The sequence below is a fragment of the Homo sapiens genome, chromosome 17, assembly GCF_000001405.40.
Source record: "Homo sapiens chromosome 17, GRCh38.p14 Primary Assembly".
Taxonomy (NCBI): Eukaryota; Metazoa; Chordata; class Mammalia; order Primates; family Hominidae; genus Homo; species Homo sapiens.
In genome coordinates, this window is record NC_000017.11 from 17,954,403 (window position 1) to 17,976,874 (window position 22,472).

Here is a 22,472-nt window from a genome sequence, read left to right on the forward strand (position 1 = left end):
CCCAGATTCAAATGATTCTCCTGTCTCAGCCTCTCTGGTAGCTGGGATTACAGGAACCCACCACCATGTCCTGCTAATTTTTGTATTTTTAGTAGAGACGGGGTTTCGCCATGTTGGCCAGGCTAGTCTCGAACTACTGACCTCAGATGACCCACCCACCTTGGCCTCCCAAAGTGCTGGGATTACAAGTGTGAGCCACCGCGCCTGGCCCTATTTATAAATCATTCTAAAGGAGATGGGGAGTTCCAGAAATTTTCTGGTAGAGTTGTCCAAAGTTTTGGAAGGTTCCAGAGTGTAGAAAGGGAGGGAGAATATGAAGGAGGAGACCAGCTAGGTGGTATTGAACTGGTCTAACTTACAGCCTCAAGCAATGGTCCAGGCATGACCAAGGGCTGGACTAAGTTAGAGGAGGAGAAAACTAAGAGCAAACACATGCTAAACACATTATGAAAACAAACAAAAAACTCTCACACAGATACTACGCTCTAAGGCCAAGAGAGGTCCCAGAACCTCCATGGCAGTGTGGCTCCTCCATCCATTTGCTCAGCCCCTTCCTGACCTCCGTTTCTTTTGCTGTTGCTCACCCTAGAGCAATGTCTTTATGTTCAAAAAGCATTTATGGAATTGAAATGATTGCATCTCATGGGCACCTTGTCAGAAATGTGCCATCACAAGTGACATTTTCGGGTGTCATAGTTAGTCTCTCATCTGCTGGTGGATCTGATTTGCCCAGCTGACAAGTGAGAAGACTGTGACACCAACAATTATAGAAACAAACTCAACCTAGAATCTGGAAATCAAGCTGTTCTCTCCACCTCTTCTATCATACTCAGCAGACAATATGGTGGTCACCGGCAGAGGGCCCTCACTTCTCAAACCACAGCAGCTAGTGGGAACGGCAGGACCCCAGACCACACAATTCCTTTTTTTTTTTTTTTTTTTTTTTTTGTTTTTGAGACAAGAGACTTGCTCTGTCGCCAGGCTGGAGTACAGTGACGACATCTCTGCTCACCTCAATCTCTGCCTCCCGGGTTCAAGCGATTCTCCAGCCTCCATCTCCCACGTAGCTGGGATTACAGGCACACGCCACCAAGCCCAGATAAATTTTTTGTATTTTTAGCAGAGACAGGGTTTCACCATATTGGCCAGGACAGTCTTGATCTCCTGACCTCGTGATCCTCCTGCCTCGGACTCCCAAAGTGCTGGGATTACAGGCATAAGCCACTGCGCCCAGCCTCTTCTTTGTTGTTTTTTAAGAGATGGAGTCTTGCTCTGCCACCCAGGCTAGAGTGTGTCCAGAATTGGTGGGTTCTTGGTCTCACTGACTTCAAGAATGAAGCCATAGACCCTCGCAGTTAGTTTTACAGTTCTTAAAGGCGGCGTGTCTGGGGTTTGTTCCTTCTGATGTTCAGCTGTGTTCTGAGTTTCTTCCTCCTGGTGGGTTCGTAGTCTCGCTGGCTTCAAGAGTGAAGCTGCAGACCTTCGCGGTGAGTGTTACAGCTCTTAAGGCAGCGTGTCTGAAGTTGTTCGCTCCTACCGCCTGGAATTGTTCATTCCTCCCAATGGGTTCGTGGTCTGCGCCAGCCTCAAGAGAAAAACTGCAGACCTTTGCAGCCAGTGTTACAGCTCATAAAAGCAGTGGACTCATGGAGTAAGCAGCAACATTTGTTTCAAAGAGCAAAAGAACAAAGCCTCCCCCGCACGAAAAAGGACCCAAGTGGGTTACCACTACTGCCTCTGGCCCCACCCACATCCTGCTGATTGGTCCATTTTACAGAGAACTGATTGGTCTGTTTTACAGAGACCTGATTGGCCTATTTTGACAGGGTGCTGATTGGTGCGTTTACAATCCCTGAGCTAGACACAAAGATTCTCCAAGTCCCCACCAGATTAACTAGATACAGAGTGCTGATTGGTGCATTTACAAACCTTGAGCTAGACACAGAGTGCTGATTGGTGTATTTACAATCCCTTAGCTAGACATAAAGGTTCTCTAAGTCCTCACTAGACTCAGAAACCCAGCTGGCTTCACCCAGTGGATCCCACACCTGGGTCACAGGTGGAGCTGCCTGCCAGTCCCTGGCAGTGCGCCTGCACTCCTCAGCCCTTGGGCGGTCGATGGGACCGGGCGCAGTGGAGCAGGGGTTTGCGCTCCTTGGGGAGGTTCGGGCCGCATAGGAGCCCACGGCAGGGAGGCTCAGGCATGGTGAGCTGCAGGTCCAGAGTCCTGCCCCGCAGGGAGACCGCTGAGACCCGGCGAGAATTCCAGCACAGCACTGGCGGGCCGGCACTGCTGGGGGAATGGCACACCCTCCGCAGCTGCTGGCCTGGATGCTAAGCCCCTCACTGCCCGGGGCCTGCGGTGCTGGGCCCGCTGAGCTCACGCCCACCCAGAACTCGCGCTGGCCCGCAAGCGCCACGCGCAGCCCGGTTCCCGCCCGCGCCTCTCCCTCCACATCTCCCTGCAAGCTGAGGGAGGCGGCTCCGGCCTCGGCCAGCCCAGGGAGGGGTTCTCACAGTGCAGCGGCGGGCTGAAGGGCTCCTCAAGCACAGCCAGAGAAGGCATCGGGGCTGAGGAGGCGCCTGAGAGCGAGCAACGGCTGCCAGCACGCTGTCACCTCTCAAGAGTACAGTGGCACAATCATAGCTCGCTGCAGTCTCCACCTCCTGGGCTCAAGCAATCCTCCTGCCTCAGCCTCCAAAGTAGCTAGGACTACAGGGAGTAGCACTACCACACCCAGCTAATTTTTAAATTTTTTGTAGAAACAGGGTCTTGCTATGTTGCCCAGGCTGGCCTCAAATTTTTGGCCTCAAGCAATCCTCCTGCCTTGGCCTCCCAAAGTGCTGGGATTACAGGCATGAGCCACCACTCCCTTATACAGCCTTTCAAAATGGCAGGTAGAGAAAACAATGCATATGATTCTTCTTCAAAATATCACTGGGATTCAACACAAAAGAGCATATACTGTATGACTCCACTCATGAACTTCTAGAAGAGATAAAAGATCAGTGGTTCCCTCTGCAGTGTGTTGGAGGAGAGGATTAACTGGGAAGGGACCTGAGGGAGCTTTCTGGGGTGAGGTTGACAGTGCGTATCTTGATGGGGTAAGGTGACAACATGTAAGCATGTGTCAAAATTATAACAAAATGTATGCATTTTACTACAAGTAAACTACCTCAGTGAAAATCATTAGAAGGCAAATATATATACATTTACACAAAATATATATAAAGTATAACATATTTATATAAAATATATATAAAATATGTATATGTATATATTTACCTGTGTGCATGTATTTACATGTGTGTATATACTTACATATCACAGGCTATACACACACACACGTACACACACATATGATTCATAGGTATGTACAGTCTCTTATGGAAAGCTGTAAGTCTTAAGAAAAACTAGGCCAGGCGTGGTGGCTCACGACTGTAATCCCAGGCCGAGGTGGGCGGATCATGAGGTCCGGAGATCAAGACCATCCTGGCTAACACGGTGAAACCCCGTCTCTACTAAAAATACAAAAAATTAGCCGGGCGTGGTGGTGGGCGCCTGTAGTCCTAGCTATTCAGCAGGCTGAGGCAGGAGAATGGTGTGAACCCAGGAGGTGGAGCTTGCAGTAAGTCGAGATTGTGCCACTGCACTCCAGCCTGGGCAACAGAGCAAGACTCTGTCTCAAAAAAAAAAAAAAGAAAAGAAAAACTAAAAGCCACTTTGATTTGGGCCTTAAGCTTTAGGTCTGAAATGAACTTGGAAAGCTTGTTCAACCTCTGTTCTTCAAAACAAACGAACGAACAAACCATGCTCTTCAAATGAGTAACTGACAGGATGTGCCCCACCCAAAGTCTCACAGCAAATCAGCAGCAGAGCAGTGAACAGTCCCAGACTTTCCCAGTCCTAGCCTGGGATTGGTTTCTCTGGTCTGGACCAGTGCCAGAAAAAGTAGATAAAACAGAAGACCATTGGTGATTTTATGAGCTAATTTCATTTAAACCATCAAATCTAGAGCTAAATAGTACCCCCAACCAAGCCCAGTCAAAAACAGGAGACTAACTTTCAAACAATAAAATGTATTTACCTTCATGAGGCTGAGTTGAAAATTTCCACTCCATTAAAATGACAGACTTACTACCCCATGCTTACCCTCCCTGCCCATATACAAATATCTAAATGACTGGCAAGAGGCTGTGAGCTAAATAGGAAGACATGTAAGAGTCATAAAACTGAGTCACTGTGGGACCTTGGCAAGTCTCCTACTGTGATACAGTAAGAAATATATATTTGGTCTTTGTCCAGGTTCCTGGCACACCTCACCCAAAACCCCTGGAATCTCCTGAGAGATAAGTGTCTTTTGTATGCTAATGAGATTGGGGCTCCCTAGCCAGAAAGACCAAGGTACATTTCAGTGTTGGAACTTTTAGCCGTACCCTCATCCCACCTTACCTCCGGAAAGGGGAGAGGGACTAGAGGTTGAGTTATTCACCAATGGCCAGATTTAATCACTCATGCCCACATAATGAAACCTCCATTAATACCCCTAAACGATGGGGTTCAAAGAACTTCCAAGTTGAACACATAAAGGTGCTGGGAGGCTGGCACAGAAGTTCTCTGCCCCTTCCCCACACCTTGCCCGATGAATCTCTTCCATTTGGCTGTTGCTGAGTTATATCCTTTGTCACGAAAATGTAAGTAAAGTGTTGTCCTGAATTTTGTGAGCCATTCAAGCATATGATCAAACATGGGGAAGGCATCACGGGAATCCCCAATTTATAGCCGGTCATGGGAAGTACAGATGGTAACCAGGAACTTGTGACTGGCATGTGAAGTGGGGGCAGTCTTGTGGGACTGAGCCCTTAACCTCTGGGGTCCGCACCAGCTCCAGGTAGTTAGTGTCAAAACTGAATTCAATTGTAGGACATCCATTTGATATCAGAAAAAAGACAAAAACAACAAAAAAATCCCTGCACATTTGCTGTCAGAAATGTCATACATCACAGACACCCTCTCTGGCCTTGTTTCCACAACCTGCAAAAATTAGAGGGTTGGACCAAATACCACTAAGACCCTTTCAACTAGAGTCTTCTGATTCTTTGAATTGCTGGTTTAAGAATTTCCACAGTTAGCATAGGAGACTCTCGCTCTCTGGAAGCCACTAGCAAATTCAGCTTTCAAACCCCAAGCAACATCATTTCTCAGGCCTCATTTCCTATTTCGACTAATGACGTGCCAGAAATCTGTGTGATTTCTCCTTTGAGGAGCAGCAAAAAAAACTCCACAGTGTCCTATTACAGGACCCAGTTCTTGTCCCCAGCTCTCAAAGACAGCCCAATTCTCTGAGATGAAAGAATCAGTCTCTCTCCATTACACTCAATTTTAAACCAAAACCCGAAACAGAATTTTTGACATGCCTCCCAGACTACAAGGCTTATGCTTCATTAATGATTAAAAGAGCAGCTGGTGATGTCTTAAAAGCAAGTTGGTCAGTTAGACAATTTAGCATGTGTTTAAATTCCGTCTTTTCCTCCATCCATCACTGTAGTTCTAAGGCAAATCCAAAGAGAAAGTAAAATACACAGGTCTTCCATTACTAAGAAGTGCCTCAGCGAGGATATAAGAAAGCACGTCCTTTGAGGAAATTCTCAGAAAACTTACTGGTATGAAGAGGACACTTGTACACTGAGTTACAGGAGGAAAACTGAAACTGAGTACATAATTTACAATACTAGTGTAGGTCTGGATTTAAGACAACTATTACTAGATTTTTCAGCTACCAAGTTCATTCAGGCATTCATTCACTCAATCCCACAAACAATACTAAGCTCTCTGGTTTAGTGGTTAAGAGCACCAGCTCTGCTGCCCACAGACCTGGGTTCAAATCCCTGCTCTGCCACTGATAATCCACAGACCTTGAGGAAGGTACTTGACTTTTTTTTTTCTGAGACAGGGTCTCTGGCTCTGTCAACCAGACTGGAGTGTAGTGGCACAATCTCAGCTCACAGCAACCTCTGCCTCCTGGGCTCATGCCATCTTCCCACCTCAGCCTCCTCCCAAGTAGCTGGGACTACAGGTGCATGCTACCATGCCCAGCTAATTTTTGTATTTTTTTGTAGAGACGGAATTTCGCCATGTTGCCCAGACTGGTCTCGAACTCCTGAGCTCAAGTGATCCTCCCATCTTGGCTGCCCAGAATACTAGTATTACAGGCATGAGCCAGTGAGCCCAGCTGGTTATTTCACTTCTAAGCCTTAGTTTCCTAGTCTTTTAAAATATGACTGACAGGCCTGGGTGACACAGTGAGAGTCTGTCTCCAAAAAAACAAAATAGAGTGATAATACCTGCCTTACAGAATTGTTGTGGGAATTAAAGAAAAGAATGCATGTAAACTACATAACCCAGTACCTAGTAAGGAGAGACATTCTGACTGCTACTAATAGCACCATCCTTATCTTTAAGGCATTGTGTTAGATTCGACTGAAAGATAAGGGCATGACACGGAAGGTACAAGCAACAAAAGAAAAAGTAGAGAAACTGGACTTAAAACTTTTGTGCATTAAAGGACACTATAAACAGAGTATAAAAAGGCAACCCACAGAATGGGAGAAAATATTTGTAAATCACATGTCTGATAAGAGATTAATATTCAGAATATATAGAGAACTCCTAAAACCGAACAACAACAAAACCCAATTAAAAACTAGGCACAGGACTTGAACAGACATTTCTCCAAAGAAGACATACAAATGGCCAACAAGCACATGAAAAGATGCTCAATATCACTAATCATGAAGAAAATGCAAATCAAAACCACAATGAGACACCAATTCATACCCATTAGGATGGCTACTATAAAGAAAAAAAAATGAACCAAGTGCAGGGGTTCACGTCCTATAATCCCAACACTTTGGGAGGCCAAGATGGGAGGATCACCTGAGTCCGAGAAGTCCAGGAGTTTAAGACTAGTCTGGGATACATGGGGAGGCCTTGCCACTACAAAAAAATAATTTTTTTTTTAATTGGCTGGGAATGGTGGTGCATGCCTATAGTCCTAGCTACTCAGGAGACTAAGGCAGGAGGATTGCTCGAGTTCAGAAGTTCGAGGCTGCAGGGAGCTATGATCATGCCACTGTACTCTAGCCTGGGTGACAGAAGGAGAACGTGTCTCTTAAAAAAAAATTGAAGGGCCGGGCACGGTGGCTTACACCTGTAATCCCAGCACTTTGGGAGGCCGAGGCGGGCGCATCATGAGGTGAGGAGATCGAGACCATCCTGGCTAACACGATGAAACCCTGTCTCTACTAAAAATACAAAAATTAGCCGGGCGTGGTGGCAGGCGCCTGTAGTCCCAGCTACTCGGGAGGCTGAGGCAGGAGAATGGCGTGAACCCGGGAGGTGGAGCTTGCAGTGAGCAGAGATTGCACCACTGCACTCCAGCCTGGGCAACAGAGCGAGACTCCGTCTCAAAAAAAAAAAAAAAATGAAAACAGACATGAATAGATATTTGTACATTCATGTTCATAGCAGCATTATTTACAATAGCCAAAAAGTGGAAGCAACTCAGGTGACCATCAATGGAAGAATGAATAAACAAAATGTGGTATAAACACACAATGGAATATTATACAGCCTTAACAAGGAAGGAAACTTTGACATGCTCCAATAGAGATGAAACTTGAAGACATTATGCAAGTGAAGTCAGTCATGAAAGGATAAATACTATATGATTCCATTTATATGAGGTTTCATAATAAATATATGATTCCACTTATATGAGGTTCCTAGAGTAGTCAAATTCATAGTGACAAAGTAAAATGGTAGTTGCCAGGGGCTGGGGGGAGGAGGGAACAGGGAGATATTGTTTCACTTTTGCAAGACTAGAAGAGTTGTAGAGATGGCCAGTGGTGATTGTTGCATATTTTTTTTTTTTTAGGGATGGAGTCTCGCTCTGTCACCCAGGCTGGAGTGCAGTGACACGATCTTAGCTCACTGCAACCTCCTCCTCTAGCAATTCTCCTGCTTCAGCCTCCCGAGTACCTGGGACTACAGGCGCACACTGCCATGCCCGGCTAATTTTTTTGTATTTTAGTAGAGACAGGGTTTCACCGTGTTGCGCAGGCTGGTCTCGAACTCCTGAGCTCAGGCAATCCACCCGCCTCGGCCTCCCAAAGTGCTAGGATTAAAGGCATGAGCCACCGCGACTGGCCCAATGTGAATATATTTAATGCCATTGAACTGCACACTTAAAACCAGTTAAAATTGTAAATTTTGGGCCTGGTGTGGTGGCTCACGCCTGTAATCTCAGCACTTTGGGAGGCTGAGGTGGGTGGAATCACAAGGTCAAGAGATCGAGACCAACCTGGCCAACATGGTGAAACCCTATCTCTACTAAAATTGCAAAAAATTTAGCTGGGCGTGGTGGCGCGTGCCTGTAGTCCCAGCTACTTGGGAGGCTGAGGCAGGAGAATCGCTTGAACCTGGGAGGCAGAGGTTGCAATGAGCCGAGGTCGTGCCACTGCACTCCAGCCTGGGCAACAGAGTGAGACTCCGTCTCAAAAAAAAAAAAAATGTAAATTTTGTTATATATATTTTATCAGGTTTTTTTTTTAAAGAATAAATAGAAACAGGTGCCCTCATGGAACATTTAGTCTAAATGATGTAAAACATAACAACACATTTTGCTTTTACATACTCACTTGACCCCTGTAAGATGTGATGGTGCAAGTGTTCTTGTACTCCCTTCACCACCACAGTTTACAGATTGGGAAACTGAGTTTTAGCACAGTTACTGGACTCATACAAAAGCAGTCGCATCGAGAAGCAAAGATGGGACTGACTCCAATCTAGAACAAAGAGTGCTAAGTGCTGGAAGAGAACAAAGAGAGAGCAATGGGAATCCACATTCCTATTGGTGGAACTATGCTATCTTTCTGGAATTCCTATTTGAAATCAGTTTAGGCTCCTTCTTGTCCAAATGGAAACAGACCATGCTTGATGTCTAAAAGGCAACATGAACAAAGAAAAACGCTGGAGCTAGAGCCCCTGGCTGGAGAGGACCGCTCCGCCTACTTGAGCCAGGAAACCTTGGGCAAGTTTCTGAACCCCTTTAAGTCTCTATTTCTTCACCTGTAAGATGAAGATAACAGTGCTTCCAGAGAAAAAAATTTTTAAATGAGATAAGTATGCACAGCACTCAGCAAGGTGCCTGGCACATGGTGAGGGGCCAGGAAATGATGGCTAGTAATGTTAGCTTTCAAAGATGCTAAATACCAGTGACAAAAAGAGTGAATAACTATGAAGAATATACTCTACCATGTGCTGTGAAGGTCACAAGGAAACAGAAAGTAGAGGAGCCTCCAGCCTTATTCAGAAGGTATGGCAATAAACACATGATAAATAACACAAGATAAATAACAACAGTAACAGTGGAGGGAAGGAATCAAGAAGTCTATATTAGTTGATTGCAGGACACCGTGCTAGGGATTTTAAGCACATTATCTCATTTAATCGTCACAAAAACCTGGAGGACAAGTAATATTTTCTGTTTTATAGATAAGAGAAGAGCCAAATGAATGATATGGATAGCAAGCACTGTGAGCTCAGAGAAGAGATTCATCACCATAAACAGGGTGGTCTAGGAAGGCTGCCTGTAGGAAGAGGTGAGGGCTGATGGGCATCAGGCTTGATGACTGAATGGAGAAAAGCAGAGAATCTCCTAAATCAAGAAGGTTGGAGGGAGCAATAACATATGTAACCAAGTCTGAGACTGGTTTTAAAAGTCGCCTCTTTTAACCTCAACAAGCCGGGTCAGCAGGAAAAGCCTGAATGTTATTTATATCTTCTCAGACTACTAGGTTAGCGCAACATTTCTGGGTGATTTATCTGCTAGGTCAAGAGCAACAACCCCTAACTGATGCTCCTCTGGGCAATGTATTTACACCGTTTTCCTTTCCTAATATCCCAAGTAAATAAATAAATAAATGTAGATTATACAGAAATATGCTAAAAGTTGTTCTACAATGTCGCCTCTTCAAGGCATGAGAAGATGAAGAGTGAAATACAAAAGTATTCCATTATGTGAAATAAGCATCTCAACAAATTTGTGAGGACGCACATTGTGGAGATTTTTTTCTCCTTTGCATTTTTTCTATATCTTTCATATTTTCTATCGGTTATACATCGTTTTGTAAAAAGCACAATGAAAGGCTGGGCACAGTGGCTGAAACCTATAATCCCAGCACTTTGGGAGGCTGAAGCGGGAGGATCACTTGAGCCCAGTAGGTTGAGGCTTTAACTACGATCCTGCCACTGCATTCCAGCCTGGGCGACAAAGCAAGACCCTGTCTCAAAAAAAATAAATAAATAAAAAGCACAATTATATGAGAATTTTAGATATTCCGATAGCCCACTCCTAAGCAGTGGCATTCCTCTAGAAAAGCCCTGGGAATAGGTCAGCCCTGTCATTGCATATGATAAACAGAGCAGGAGGAGGAGCAGGCTGACGCCCCACGTGACTTTCAATGTCAGGGGTTTTAAGACCTGTCCAGGCAATTAAGGACAAATGCTCTAGACTAGACTTCTTCTCAATGCTCCATCAACCTGCCTTGGCACCTTTCTGTTTCTGAGGGGGCTTCATAGACAGTGTCCCTACCCTTGACCACAGCTGACATCCCCCCTCCTTCCCCCACCTTCCCTCCCCAATTCTGCACAGAAGCGGGCTTTCATGGTAGAGAGAATGATCTTCTGGTGACTGCTAAGGAGAAATCTCCCTACCTCTGTAATGATATTCATGCTTCCATGCTATTCCCCTCCCTAGAAGTCTTTCATGCCTCCCCAGTACCTCTAAAATATAGTTCAAACTACTTAGCCAACATATGAAGCAAGCCCTCCACACAATCAGGCCTTATCCTCCCTTCCCAGTCTCACCCCCTATCACTCCCCTTTGCTAGGCACACAGAATAAATCCCATCACCCCCGCCTACCTCTTAACATCCAGCATTTGCTCAAGTTGTCTCTGCCAAGAAACCAAACATCCTTTTCCATTTCTACACAAACCAAATCCTCCCCATTCATCAAAGCCCTGCTCAGCAGACACCACCTCCTCAGAGTTTTCCTGAGTTCTTCCTTCCCTCCTACAGTGTTCCTCCTCACTTTACTCTTGCTGAGGGCAGCACAGCGTGACAGGATACCAGCTCTGGAGCCAGAATGCTGCATTCAGACTATAGCTCCCTCACTGCTAGCTGTGTGACCTTAGGTAGGTTCCATACTTTCTCATTGTCTTAATGTCCCCATCTGAAAATGGAGATAATCACAGTACCTTCCTCACAGCATTGTTGTGAGGATCGAATGACTGCAAGATGTATAAAGTGCCCACTTCAGTCTCTGGCACATAGGAATACAACATTAAACTTTTTTTAAAACCCCAAAAACGGGGCCGGGCATGGTGGCTCACACCTGTAATCCCAGCACTTTGGGTGGCCAAGGTGGGTGGATCATCTGAGGTCAGGAGTTTGAGACCAACGTGGTCAACATGGTGAAACCCTGTCTCTACTAACAATACAAAAATTAGCCGGGCATGATGGTGGGCACCTGTAATCCCAGCTACTTGGGAGGCTGAGACAGGAGAATCCCTTAAACCCAGGAGGTGGAGGTTGCAGTGAGCTGAGATCGCGCCACTGCACTCCACCCTGGGCAACAGAGCAAGACTCCATCTGGAAAACAAAGAAACAAAAAAACAAACAAAAAACCCAAAAGCCTTTAGCTATTATTATTACCACCTGAGGTCACCCCTCCCCTCCTACATTTCCTTACTGCATTTATCTATCCAATCTTGCAACTACTTTCTATCTGATCTAATTTAGATACCTACACACTGGGAAATTCTCAGCTTGCTATATACAGATAGTACAGGGCCACTGAATAAATAAATGAACAAATTCTAAATAATCACTCTTTTAGCCTGTCCACAAGAAAACCTACATTTAATGTTTGAAGAAAGATAAAGAAAAGATTAAAGAAACAGAACTTCAAAGCAAGAACTACAGTTCTCGAAGTGAACCAGTAGCATCAGCATCACTAGAGAACTTGACAGAAATGTAGAATGCTACTTCCCACCCCAAACCTACTGAAACAGAAACTCTGAGGGTAGGATCCACTTTTAACAAGCCCTCCAGGTGATTCCCTTGCGGCTGAATCATGAGCTCAGAGTGCAAAAAGTAACATAAATGGCAGCACAGAATGAGCACTGGATCAGGAGTAGATTCTAGGCTTCACTCTGCCATTGACCTTGCACAAGTCTCTTAACTTCTCAGAGCCTCGATTTCCTTATGTGATACAGGGATGATAACACCCAAATAGTTAAATGTTGTGAGGGTTAAATGAGATTCTATGTACAGAGTTTGCATATAGTTGGTACTTAATAATTATAAGTTCCTTCCAGTTATCTTCCTGTATATCTCACAAGGTTGTGAACACTAAATAAAATGACTGAAGCAAAAGGGCTTTGCAAATTCCTGCCCTTGAACATCAGACTCCAAGTTCTTCAGCTTTGGGACTCAGACTGGCTTCCTTGCTTCTCAGCTTGCAGATGGCCTACTGTGGGACCTCATCTTGTGATTGTGTGAGTCAGTACTCCTTAATAAACTCCCCTTAATATAAACATCTACCCTATTAGTTGTGTCCCTCTAGAGAACCCTAATACACATAGCAATCTGAGGGACAACTAACTATTCTTGGTACAAATAGCCAGGTTAAACGTCTACCATTCACAGGATATTATGAAGTAGTTTATGTCCAACACCAGTCAGTCTACAAACAAACTCTGCAACAGAATATCTGCTTCTTGCCTGTTTATTAAAGCAGAACAATGAAGAGAATACATGCCCACCACCCCCAATATTCTGGTCAGAATTAACTAACTACTCACTGATCTTTGAATCTAAACTTTACTCTTGGAAAAGGATTTTCTGAAAACTTTTTCTAGCCAACACAAGGAAAACTGCAAACTGCTGCAGACACAATGGACCTGACTTGGGGAACTCCCCATGTATGTCATCCAACTCCAAGCAGTTGTGGAAGGCTGAGATTAAGACAGTTAACATTTTGAAGCTTGTTGCAGAACAGAAAATTAAGAAATACAAGTAAGTACTCTTTCTTCCACCACACTTCTTAGCCTCGCACACCATGGCTAGGCTTTCTCTCTCTTTTTTTTCTTTTTTGGAGATGCAGTCTCGCTCTGTCATTCAGGCTGGAGTGCAAATGGCACGATCTCGGCTCACTGCAACCTCCACCTCCCAGGTTCAAGGGATTCTTCCGCCTCAGCCTCCCGAGTAGCTGGGATTATACGCGCGTGCCACCATGCCCAGCTAATTTTTGTATTTTTAGTAGAGATGGGGTTTTGCCACATTAACCAGGCTGGTCTTGAACTCCTAACCTCAGGTGATCCACCCGCCACGGCCTCCCAAAGTGCTGGATTACAGGTGTGAGCCACCGCACCTGTCCAGCTTACTCTCTCCCTAAACCATGCTTTCTACTCAGGAACTGCCCTCCAGAATAAAGGGCGGGATGGATGCAAGAAATGCACAGTTAACTATGTCAGACTGTGGTCTTAGCCGCTAACTTGAGATGAACACGCTAAGTGTTCTACTAAATCGTACCAGGTTAGAATGTTCACATGAGGCCCACGCATAAGACAGAGTAAGAATTACTCCACCAACCGCTCAGACAGACCCAGGACACCTTTTGTGAGCATGTTACCTCTACCGAAGGCTCCCTAAGAGCAGCTTGTTAATATTTGTATCCCCAGAGCCTGGCACAGGCCTGGCCCCCCACAGGCACTCATAACTGCCTACTGAAGTGAACAGACAAAATTATTTAGGTGTAAGCCCCATGCAGCTGTTGAGAAGTATTATTTTATAAGCAGGGAAAATTAGGTCCAAAGAGACTAAAAGTTGAAGTCAGTTAAAGAACGTAGTCTTTGGGCCGGGCGCAATGGCTCACTCCTATAATCCTAGCACTTTGGGAGGCCAAGGAGGGTGGATCACGAGGTCAGGAGTTCAAGACCAGCCTGGCCAAGGTAGTGAAACCTTGTCTCTACTAAAAATACAAAAATTAGCCCGGCACGGTGCCAGGCACCAGTAATCCCAGCTACTTGGGAGGCTGAGACAGGAGAATCGCTTGAACTTGTGGGGCGGAGGTTGCAGTGAGCTTAGATCGTGCCACTGCACTCCAGCCTGGGTGATGAAGTGAGACTCCATCTCAAAAAAAAAAAAAAAAAGAATGTAGTCTTTGATGCCACCCATCCAGAGCAGGGCTTCCTCCTGTGCCCAAACCCTACTTGCCACCACTCCCCACAGCCACCTCTGCTCCATTCAGACTGGTACTCACAGATGTGCCTGTGCCCCACTCCCTGCCTCATTCAGCTGTCCCTAGGCCCAATGATATTGTTTTCTGCATGCAGAGTTCCTACCCATCCTTTATGAACAGCCCTCAGACTCAAAGAAGCCAGTCCCTGTCACCCCAGCCTCTTCTGAATTGTTTCTGACTCCTTCAGCACTTACAATCTACACCACTCATTGTTTCATGCATCTCTGTCTTCTCTCCTGAAACCGTAAATCCATTGAGGACAGGGATCAGAGAGGGACCAGCTCTCCTTTTTTTTTTTTTTTTGGAGACAGAGTCTCACTCTGTCGCCCAGGCTGGAGCGCGGTGGCACAATCTTGGCTCACTGCAACCTCTGCCTCCCAGGTTCAAGCGATTCTCCTGTCTCAGCCTCCTGAATAGCTGGGATTACAGGCGCCCACCACCACACCCGGCTCATTTTTGTATTACTAGTAGAGACAGGGTTTCACCATATTGGTCAGGCTGGCCTCCAACTCCTGACCTCAAGTGATCCACCACCTTGGCCTCCCAAAGTGCTGGGATTACAGGCATGAGCCACCACAACCAGCCTACAGCTGCTGTTTTTAATCATTAGCTTTGTAGTTGTTATTTTATTTCTGTATTCCCCCTCCCTCCCACCAATCCCCCACCCCCGCACATTCTTTTAAAAGAATACTAACAACACTAAATATCAAGAAAGTCACTTTGACACTTTGTCACAACAGTACGGAATATACATTAGAACCTAATTCTGTCCATTAATCATTTACCTGAACTGAACTGAAATGACCTATTGGCTACCTGGCAGTGGGGAGCCATCATCATCTTTAGTCAAGCATCTTATGAGCAATGGTGAATCCTGGGGCCTGGTAGGGTATTTTCCTTCACAGGTCACAGACGGGCCAGTTGTTTCACATATCCTCTCCAGATAGAAAATCCAACCCTAACTTAAATATTCTGTTATTAACAGTGGCAGTTTCAATTTACTGAGCTTCTACTATGTTCCAGATACTATGCTAAGTGTTTTCATACATTATCTCATTTAAACTACATTACTCTGTGAATAGGAATCTTTCTCTCTCTCTCTCTCTCTCTCAGAAGACTGACAAACTAAACCTCAGAAAGCAACACAATTTTCTGGGGTCACACAGCCAAGAAATGGGGGCCAGGTCAAAATTCAACTTAGGTCTCCCTGACAGAAGTATCAAGCTCTTTCCACTTGCTATATATCCCTATATCTCTTATATTTGGTTTTTTGTTGTTGTTGTTGTTGTTTGTTTGTTTTTTGAGACAGAGTCTCACTCTGTCGCCCAGGCTGGAGTGCAGTGGCACAATCTCAGCTCACTGCAAACTCCGCCTCCCGGGTTCAAGCAATTCTCCTGCCTCAGCCTCCCGAGTAGCTGGGACTACAGGCGCATGCCACCACGCCTGGCTAATTTTCTTTTTTTTTTTGGATTTTTAGTAGAGACGGGGTTTCACCGTGTTAGCCAAGATGGTCTCGATCTCCTGACCTTGTGATCCGCCCGCCTCAACCTCCCAAAGTGCTGAGATTACAGGCGTGAGCCACCGCACCCAACCACATTTGTATTTTAAATCCCCTTTAACTTCTACCCCTCATTTACTACCTTGTCATTTTAAAGGTGTAGAGCTTCCTATTATAAAGGGGACAGAAAGGAAAACAATTCTCGCAAGTTTTCTGGCTCCCTCCATTAACTGGCTGGAAATTAGTTTTTGGAGTGTGGCTGCCATGCAAGAGCACCTGAAGAGAGTGGAAAAGGACATGGGGAAGAAGTAAGGAAGTGAGAATCCAGAGACTCTCCAGTGGGCAGCAAGAGACAAGATGTCAAAAAGGTGGGAAAACACTCTTTTGGGGTCCCTCATGCATTATAAAAGATACTACGCCAGAAAGTAAAGAAAGGCTCCTAAATGCTAATTAGCCAACAGGAGAGACCTCAATAAGTTTATAGGCTCCACTAAAGGCTGGAAAGTAAGCTAAAATTTCATAAGCAAAGCAGAAAATAAACAAATCACTACTGCTGAAATCAGGCCCATAAGAACACCAAAGATCCTGGCTCATAAAAGACGTTTTACCAGTCCTTCAACCAACCAGGAGGAATCCAGTTTTCAAACAAACTAATCAGCATTCTTGACTGATCAAGTGGCATAAGCCACTGCCTTGGGTAAAAAGGCAAGTTGCTTTCTTAGTAAGGAAGTCCCATATGGTGGCCATTTCAGTATTCCTTTACCTACACTTTGGGCTTTCCTTATCCATGATTCTGGCCATCTCTGGTGTCCCCAGGTGTCCACATCCCCCCTATAGGATTAACAGATAATGCTGAGTACCATTCTCTCTACATTGCCAACAAAAGATTTCAGCTTTGGTAAACTTAATATGAGGTGGGGGAGGAAGCAACAGTCAATGTGCAGAGTACTACAAAGAATATCAAAACTTGAGAACTTTAAGGGATCTATCACATCTCATCTCCAAACACTTTGACAGACAGGGGAACTTCAAACCAGAAAGGGCACAAGGTCATATGGAGTCACTGACAAAACCACTGCTAGAGTCCAGGCTTCCATGATTCCCAGTCCAGGGCTCTTATCATTAAATAACACAGCCTCCCTTCTTTCCTGGGAGGCACTGCAGGCATGCCATCCCCCTGCCAAGATAATCACCCTCCAAGAGCCCCTCCTCCTATCCCAGTCCCTCCTACAGCACAGCTGAGTTGCAGCTCAAATTAGCAAGTCCCGGAGCAGGGGGCATTTCTGGGAGGGTGCCCAGTCTGAGGGTTGCTGGTACCGAAGAGGAGGGACAAAGATGGAGAAGAAGGTGACATCCCACAAAGGGTTTGGGAGAACTGGGTCCTTGGGGCAGTGGCAGTGAGCCTGCTGGGCTGGATAAAGACACATGCAGTGGCATCTCCCAAAGCGCATTGGGGAAGCAGACCAGCAGTTGGCACCACCTCTAGCAGCAAAAGGAAGGGCTGAGCCTTGATGGGCAGGGAAGCCTGGGGCATCTCCGAGTCCAAGTTGGGCCTCAGGGGTGCCTCCTGGCAGAGTGGCACTGGCGCGCCCGTGAGGTGGCACCAGTGCCCGGGAGGAGGCCCGAGGACACAGATGCCCTGCCTGCCCGTGGGATAGCACCGGCACCCGGCGAAGGCCCAGCCCCCCCGGGAGGTGGCACCGGCGCCCGGCGAACGCCCGACGACCAGGATGCCCAACCCGCCCGTGAGGTGGCACCGACGCCCAGTGAAGGCCAGACGACCAGGATGCCCAGCCCGCCCGTGAGGTGGCACAAGCGCCCGGCAAAGGCCCGACGACCAGGATGCCCAGCCCGCTCGTGGAGTGGCACCCGCGGCTGGCGGAGGCCCAGCCCGCTCGTGAAGTGGCACCGGCGCCCGGCGGAGGCCCGCGGTCCTCACCAGCCGGATCAGCGGCCGCCGTTGCCCAGCCTCCTGCCCCACACGCGGCCTTACCGAGGCACTGCCCCACTGGTGTGCTGAACGGGTTCCCCAGGAGGAACTCCATCTTGGGTGGACAACACGCAGCGGCCCGGGCCCCCTGTCTGCCACCTAGGCCTCCGCTGTAACCCGCCGGACTCCCGTCCTGACTGACACTTGCCCCCTCCCCACTCTCTGGAACGCCGAGCTTAGGGCCTTTGGCCCCGCCCCCTTGCCGCGTCTCTATTGGGGGACACCTACGAAGCCCGCCTCCTATTGGTCGTTACACCTCTGTCAGCAAAGCCCCCACCCACCCCGCAGCGTCCGATTGGGCGGAGGAGCGAGCTAGGTCACCGGAGTCCCTGTCAGCCGTGGCGGCACCTCCCCTGGCCCGCCCCCAAAGGGGAAGCTGCGCATTTTGATTCCTCTGTATATTGGTCAATCTAAAGGATTCTTACTATTATTGGACAAAAGACGAGTCAATCACGCAAATGGACGGAACAGAGGTGAATCTAGGAATATCCCCGCCCATAGAAAGTACTGATTGGAGAAACATTTGTTTTCTCTACGGCTGGTTGGTGTAAGGAGTGTTTCACCACACGGAGATGTGGTCACGTGACTTGTCAACTTTCACCCAGGATGTCTCCCTTCTGACTTCCCCTTAGCAACCAAGTCGCGGCGCTTGGTTCCCCAGCAACCGGGAGACGCGTCTGCTGCGTGGAACCGCCGAGTTCCCAGCGCTTGAGAAGGTGAGACCTGGGAGCTGAGGCTCCCGGAGGACTTGCAGGGACAGATAGTGCCCGACGTAACTCTTTCCTGTGACCTTTTTCTCGGAGAACGCCGGCCCGGCCCTTCTCATTTATAAAATGAGCACGTAGGTCCTCTCCCAGCCACTTTACAGTCGTGTGAGACAGCCAAGACACTTTAGTCCTGGGCTTGTCAAGCTTTTGAATAAAAAAAAAAAAAAATACTAAGGAAGCATTTCCCGAGGGAGCAGGGCCAGAATGGATTTTTAAGGGGTTCCGTCTTCCAGCCTCCTTTCATAGAAAGAGAGGTACCCGGTCCACTGATAACTTTTCCCAGAATTTAGCCATCATAACTGACCTCATAACTATCAAATGATTTCATCTTGGTACTGTATATACCGCTTTGGATGTGAATACGGCTACTCAAGTTCTGTATCCGTCTCTGTCAGTAACTCATTGTACGACTTTGGACAAGTTCCTTTACCTCCCTGGAGCCTCAGGTTCCCTAGCTGGGAAATAAGGGCATTAGGACTCCCTTTTTATGGCCTCCGGAGCTTACATGTACTTAAATAATGCATGTGCACTGAGCACACAGTAAGCATTCAGTAAGTGATTGATTTTATTCTTTTTTAAGAAAAATTTTGTTCATTATTTATTTATTTATTTATTTTTTATTTTTAAAAATGGAGACAGGGTCTTCCTATGTTGCCCGGGCTGGTCTTGAACTCCTGAACTCAAGCAGTCCTTCCACCTCGGCCTCCCAAAGAGCTGGGATTACAGGTGTAAGCCATCTCGCCCAACCAATTTTCTCCTTATTAATTCATGGCCAATAGGGACTATAGTTTTCAGATCCTGTTGACTTCAGGTTATCATTTCCCAGGAAAATTCTGGATCTGTTATCTGTGAGGAGGCCACTCCGTTGACAGTTGTGTAAAACTCTGCTGCTTTCCCCAGCTCCAACCTCTCTGGTCTTCAACAACACTATCATCAGGCAAGTCAAAGGGGACCCAGGTTGGGTGGTAAACTATAAGATCCCCATAGAAGAGGACTGTTTGGGCCTTGGCCCTGAACCCAGGACAACTGTGAGAAACACTGTGAGCTGTGGCAATGATAGTCCCCAGTACCCTGGATACAGTTGAGTCATGATTAGGAAAATGAACTCTGCCACGTGCTAAGTGTATGAAGTTGGGCATGTTAATTAACCTTTTTAACTAGCTTCTGTTTTCTTATCTGGATATTGGTGAGTATTAGCCCTACATGTAAATTAAGTTTCTAGAAATTTCTCCCATCTACATCTTGCTAACACCCTGGTCATCTCTCACCTCAGTACTTTTGCAATTCTCAGTACTGTTGCTAGAGTGAGCTTCTTAAAAACTAAGATCTGATCACATTGCTTCCCTTATTTTTTTTATTTTTTGAGATGGAGTTTCGCTCTTGTTGCCCAGGCTGGAGTGCAATGGCACGATCTCGGCTCACCGCAACCTCCGCCTCCCGGTTTCAAGCGATTCTCCTGCCTCAGCCTCCAGGGTAGCTGGGACTACAGGCATGCACCACCATGCCCAGCTAATGTTGCTGCCCTTATTAAGCCCTAGGTGCTTTCCAGGGATTCTAGGATAATAACAAAACTCCCACAGACCTCTCCAAACTTGCATCACTTCAGCCAAAGTGCAACAAGTCTGTTCTCTCCCACCTAAAGGGCCTTTCCACAAAGTTACCTCCTCCTTCTTTCCTGCTTGTCCTTCCAATCAGCCCTGTCTTCCTTGGCCAGGCCAGGTGCCCCTAATGTACAATTTCATAGTTCCCTACACCTACAAATTGTCATGGTTTGTAGTTAAATATTTGTATTATTGTTTGATTCATGCCTGAAGCTGGGTTAAAGTCCGTCTGTTTTATTCACAGCATATAGCAGTTACTCACTACCCATGTGTGGACTAAATACGTGATCTCACACAAATGCAGAAGGGAGAAATTATCCACCTTTTACAGATGGGAAAGCCAAGGCTTAGATAGGTGAAGTGAGTTGCCAAAAGATGCACAGTCAGGATCCAAATCCTGCTCTGATGTGCTTAACAAATAGCATATGTAATAACAATCCCCCATTTCCTAGCATAGCAATTGCTGGGCTTGACTGAAAGCAAACTTGATCTGTCACAGGTACCAGGCCCTGATGAAGTAGGAGGGATAAGTCAGTTAAAGTTTTGAAATCAAAATTAAGAGTCATTTCCCAAAGTATAGCACCTTTTTTTTTTTTTTTTTCTTGATGGAGTCTCGCTCTATCACCAGGCTAGAGTGCAGTGGTGCACGATCTCGGCTCACTGCAACCTCCAACTCCCTGGTTCAAGCGATTCTCCTGCCTCAGCCTGTCAAGTAGCTGGGATTACAGACATGCGCCACCATGCCCAGCTAATTTTTGTATTTTTAATAAAGTCAGGGTTTCACCATGTTGGCCAGGATGGTCTTGATCTCCTGACCTTGTGATCCGCCCACCTCGGCCTCCCAAAGTGCTGGGATTACAAGTGTGAGCCACCGCGCCTGACCTCCCCACCCCCCCCCCAAAAAAAAGGCCAAACACTTTGCAGAAAACATCAGCCAAATATAACACATTAAAATTCCCCCAAAGACAAGTTGATGACAAGTTATGGGAAACCGCAGGGGAAGCCATTGCATAAGAGTGGGGAGCTAGAGAGAGGCCGAGGTCTGGAACTGTCTTTGGGGGTAGAATCAGTCACCCCAACGAGGTGGAGCCAGTGTGAACAGATTGGAGAGAGTGGGAGGAAAAGGACCAAGGTCTTGGGAGGACGGAAGGCACAGGTGGAGAAGGGGTAGGGGTTGAAGGGTGTGGAGGCTATGCCTCCCCTGGAAGCAAGAGAGAAGTGTGCACAAGAGCTCATTGGGACATTTGATGAGGGACAGTTCAGGGCAGAGGATGCATATTTGCAGAAGCTGCATCCAAGTGGATGGTCAGGGAGGCAAGAGGAGGGCAGTCTTAGAGGGAAGTCTCTAAGACCAGGTAACAGGATTGTATGGCCCAACCTGGCTTTTCAGCAGACACCATCAGCCCTGCACCAGGAGTTTCTCCAGCAGTGCCCAGTGGAATGAAAAACAGAGCACAGGGGCTGCCTAGCATCAGGGACCAGCAGGGCAGAAGGACAGGAGGTTCAGGGAGGCCCAGATGCTGGGAAGGCATGTAGACAAAGATAGGAAGTAGGGCCAGCAGGGAGGCAAGAATCAGGGGTGGAAAGTGGGGGAAAATATCCCTCCTGGATGTCCTCACCAAGAGGGTTGATAAGGATGAGAATGTGGTCCAGCCACGAACGGCAGCCTGGAGTCAGCCTCACATTGTGACTGACCAAATCTACAGATCCCCCCTGTGCTGTGGTGTCTCAGTCAAATCCCTCTGGACCATTAGCAACAGAATCTACTGGAGGCTGGGCACGGTGGCTCATGCCTGTAATCCCAGCACTTTGGGAAGCGGAGGCAGGTGGATCACCTGAGGTCAGGAGTTTGAGACCAGCCTGGCCAACATGGTGAAACCCCGTTTCTACTAAAAATACAAAAAATTAGCCAGGCGTAGTGGTGGACACCTGAAATCCTAGTTACTCAGGAGGCTGAGGCAGGAGAATCGCTTGAATCCGGGCGTTGCAGTGAGCTGAGACCGCGCCATTGTGCCCCAGCCTGGGCGACAGAGCGAGACTCTGTCTCAAAAAAAATAAATTAATTAAATTAAAAAATAACCTACTGGAGCTAGCTTAAGTAGAAGAGGATTTCATGTGAGAAACAGGAAACTCTCATGAGGCCTGGACCTAGGGACATTAGGGACTGGAAAGCCAGCAAGAAGGAGGCAGCCTCTGTCTGTGTCGATCTGTCTGTCCTTTGTCTTTTGTTTTCTGATTCCCAGGTTCC

General features: G+C 46.9%; 2 protein-coding genes across 33 annotated transcripts in view, besides 4 other annotated features; one reads left to right on the forward strand and one right to left on the reverse strand.

Moving 5' to 3' along the window:
* TOM1L2 (target of myb1 like 2 membrane trafficking protein) overlaps positions 1 to 17,998 on the reverse strand; it is a 128,890-nt gene extending 110,892 nt beyond the window's left edge. For all 17 annotated transcript variants that reach the window (NM_001288789.2, XM_047435389.1, XM_047435386.1 and 14 more), the window contains exon 1: positions 17,860 to 17,998. In NM_001288789.2, coding sequence (NP_001275718.1) covers positions 17,860 to 17,911 — 52 coding nt within the window. In that variant the 5' untranslated portion in view covers positions 17,912 to 17,998. The remainder of the gene's footprint in view (positions 1 to 17,859) is intronic.
* Positions 3,892 to 3,941: a silencer, noted in NCBI's record as "silent region_8262". NCBI's record gives its function as "represses an Ori minimal core promoter by ATAC-STARR-seq in GM12878 lymphoblastoid cells {active_cell/tissue: GM12878}" and the evidence as "EXISTENCE:reporter gene assay evidence [ECO:0000049][PMID:35858748]".
* Positions 17,491 to 18,060: an enhancer, noted in NCBI's record as "H3K27ac-H3K4me1 hESC enhancer chr17:17875207-17875776 (GRCh37/hg19 assembly coordinates)". NCBI's record gives its function as "activates a minimal SCP1, AML or CMV promoter by ChIP-STARR-seq in primed H9 embryonic stem cells {active_cell/tissue: H9 hESC(primed)}" and the evidence as "EXISTENCE:reporter gene assay evidence [ECO:0000049][PMID:30033119]".
* Positions 17,702 to 17,751: a silencer, noted in NCBI's record as "silent region_8263". NCBI's record gives its function as "represses an Ori minimal core promoter by ATAC-STARR-seq in GM12878 lymphoblastoid cells {active_cell/tissue: GM12878}" and the evidence as "EXISTENCE:reporter gene assay evidence [ECO:0000049][PMID:35858748]".
* The window catches only part of DRC3 (dynein regulatory complex subunit 3), a 44,077-nt gene continuing 40,015 nt past the window's right edge, over positions 18,411 to 22,472 (forward strand). For 9 of the 16 annotated variants that reach the window (XR_934111.3, XR_007065485.1, XR_001752656.2 and 6 more), the window contains exons 1-2: positions 18,411 to 18,572; positions 19,450 to 19,560. The gene's annotated coding sequence lies outside the window, so the exon portion shown is untranslated. Of the gene's footprint in view, positions 18,698 to 19,262; positions 19,352 to 19,449; positions 19,561 to 22,472 lie in introns of all 16 variants that reach the window. The other 7 variants (XM_024450964.2, NM_001130090.1, XM_011524020.3 and 4 more) reach the window with 4 other exon arrangements.
* Positions 18,432 to 18,751: an enhancer, noted in NCBI's record as "active region_11819". NCBI's record gives its function as "activates an Ori minimal core promoter by ATAC-STARR-seq in GM12878 lymphoblastoid cells {active_cell/tissue: GM12878}" and the evidence as "EXISTENCE:reporter gene assay evidence [ECO:0000049][PMID:35858748]".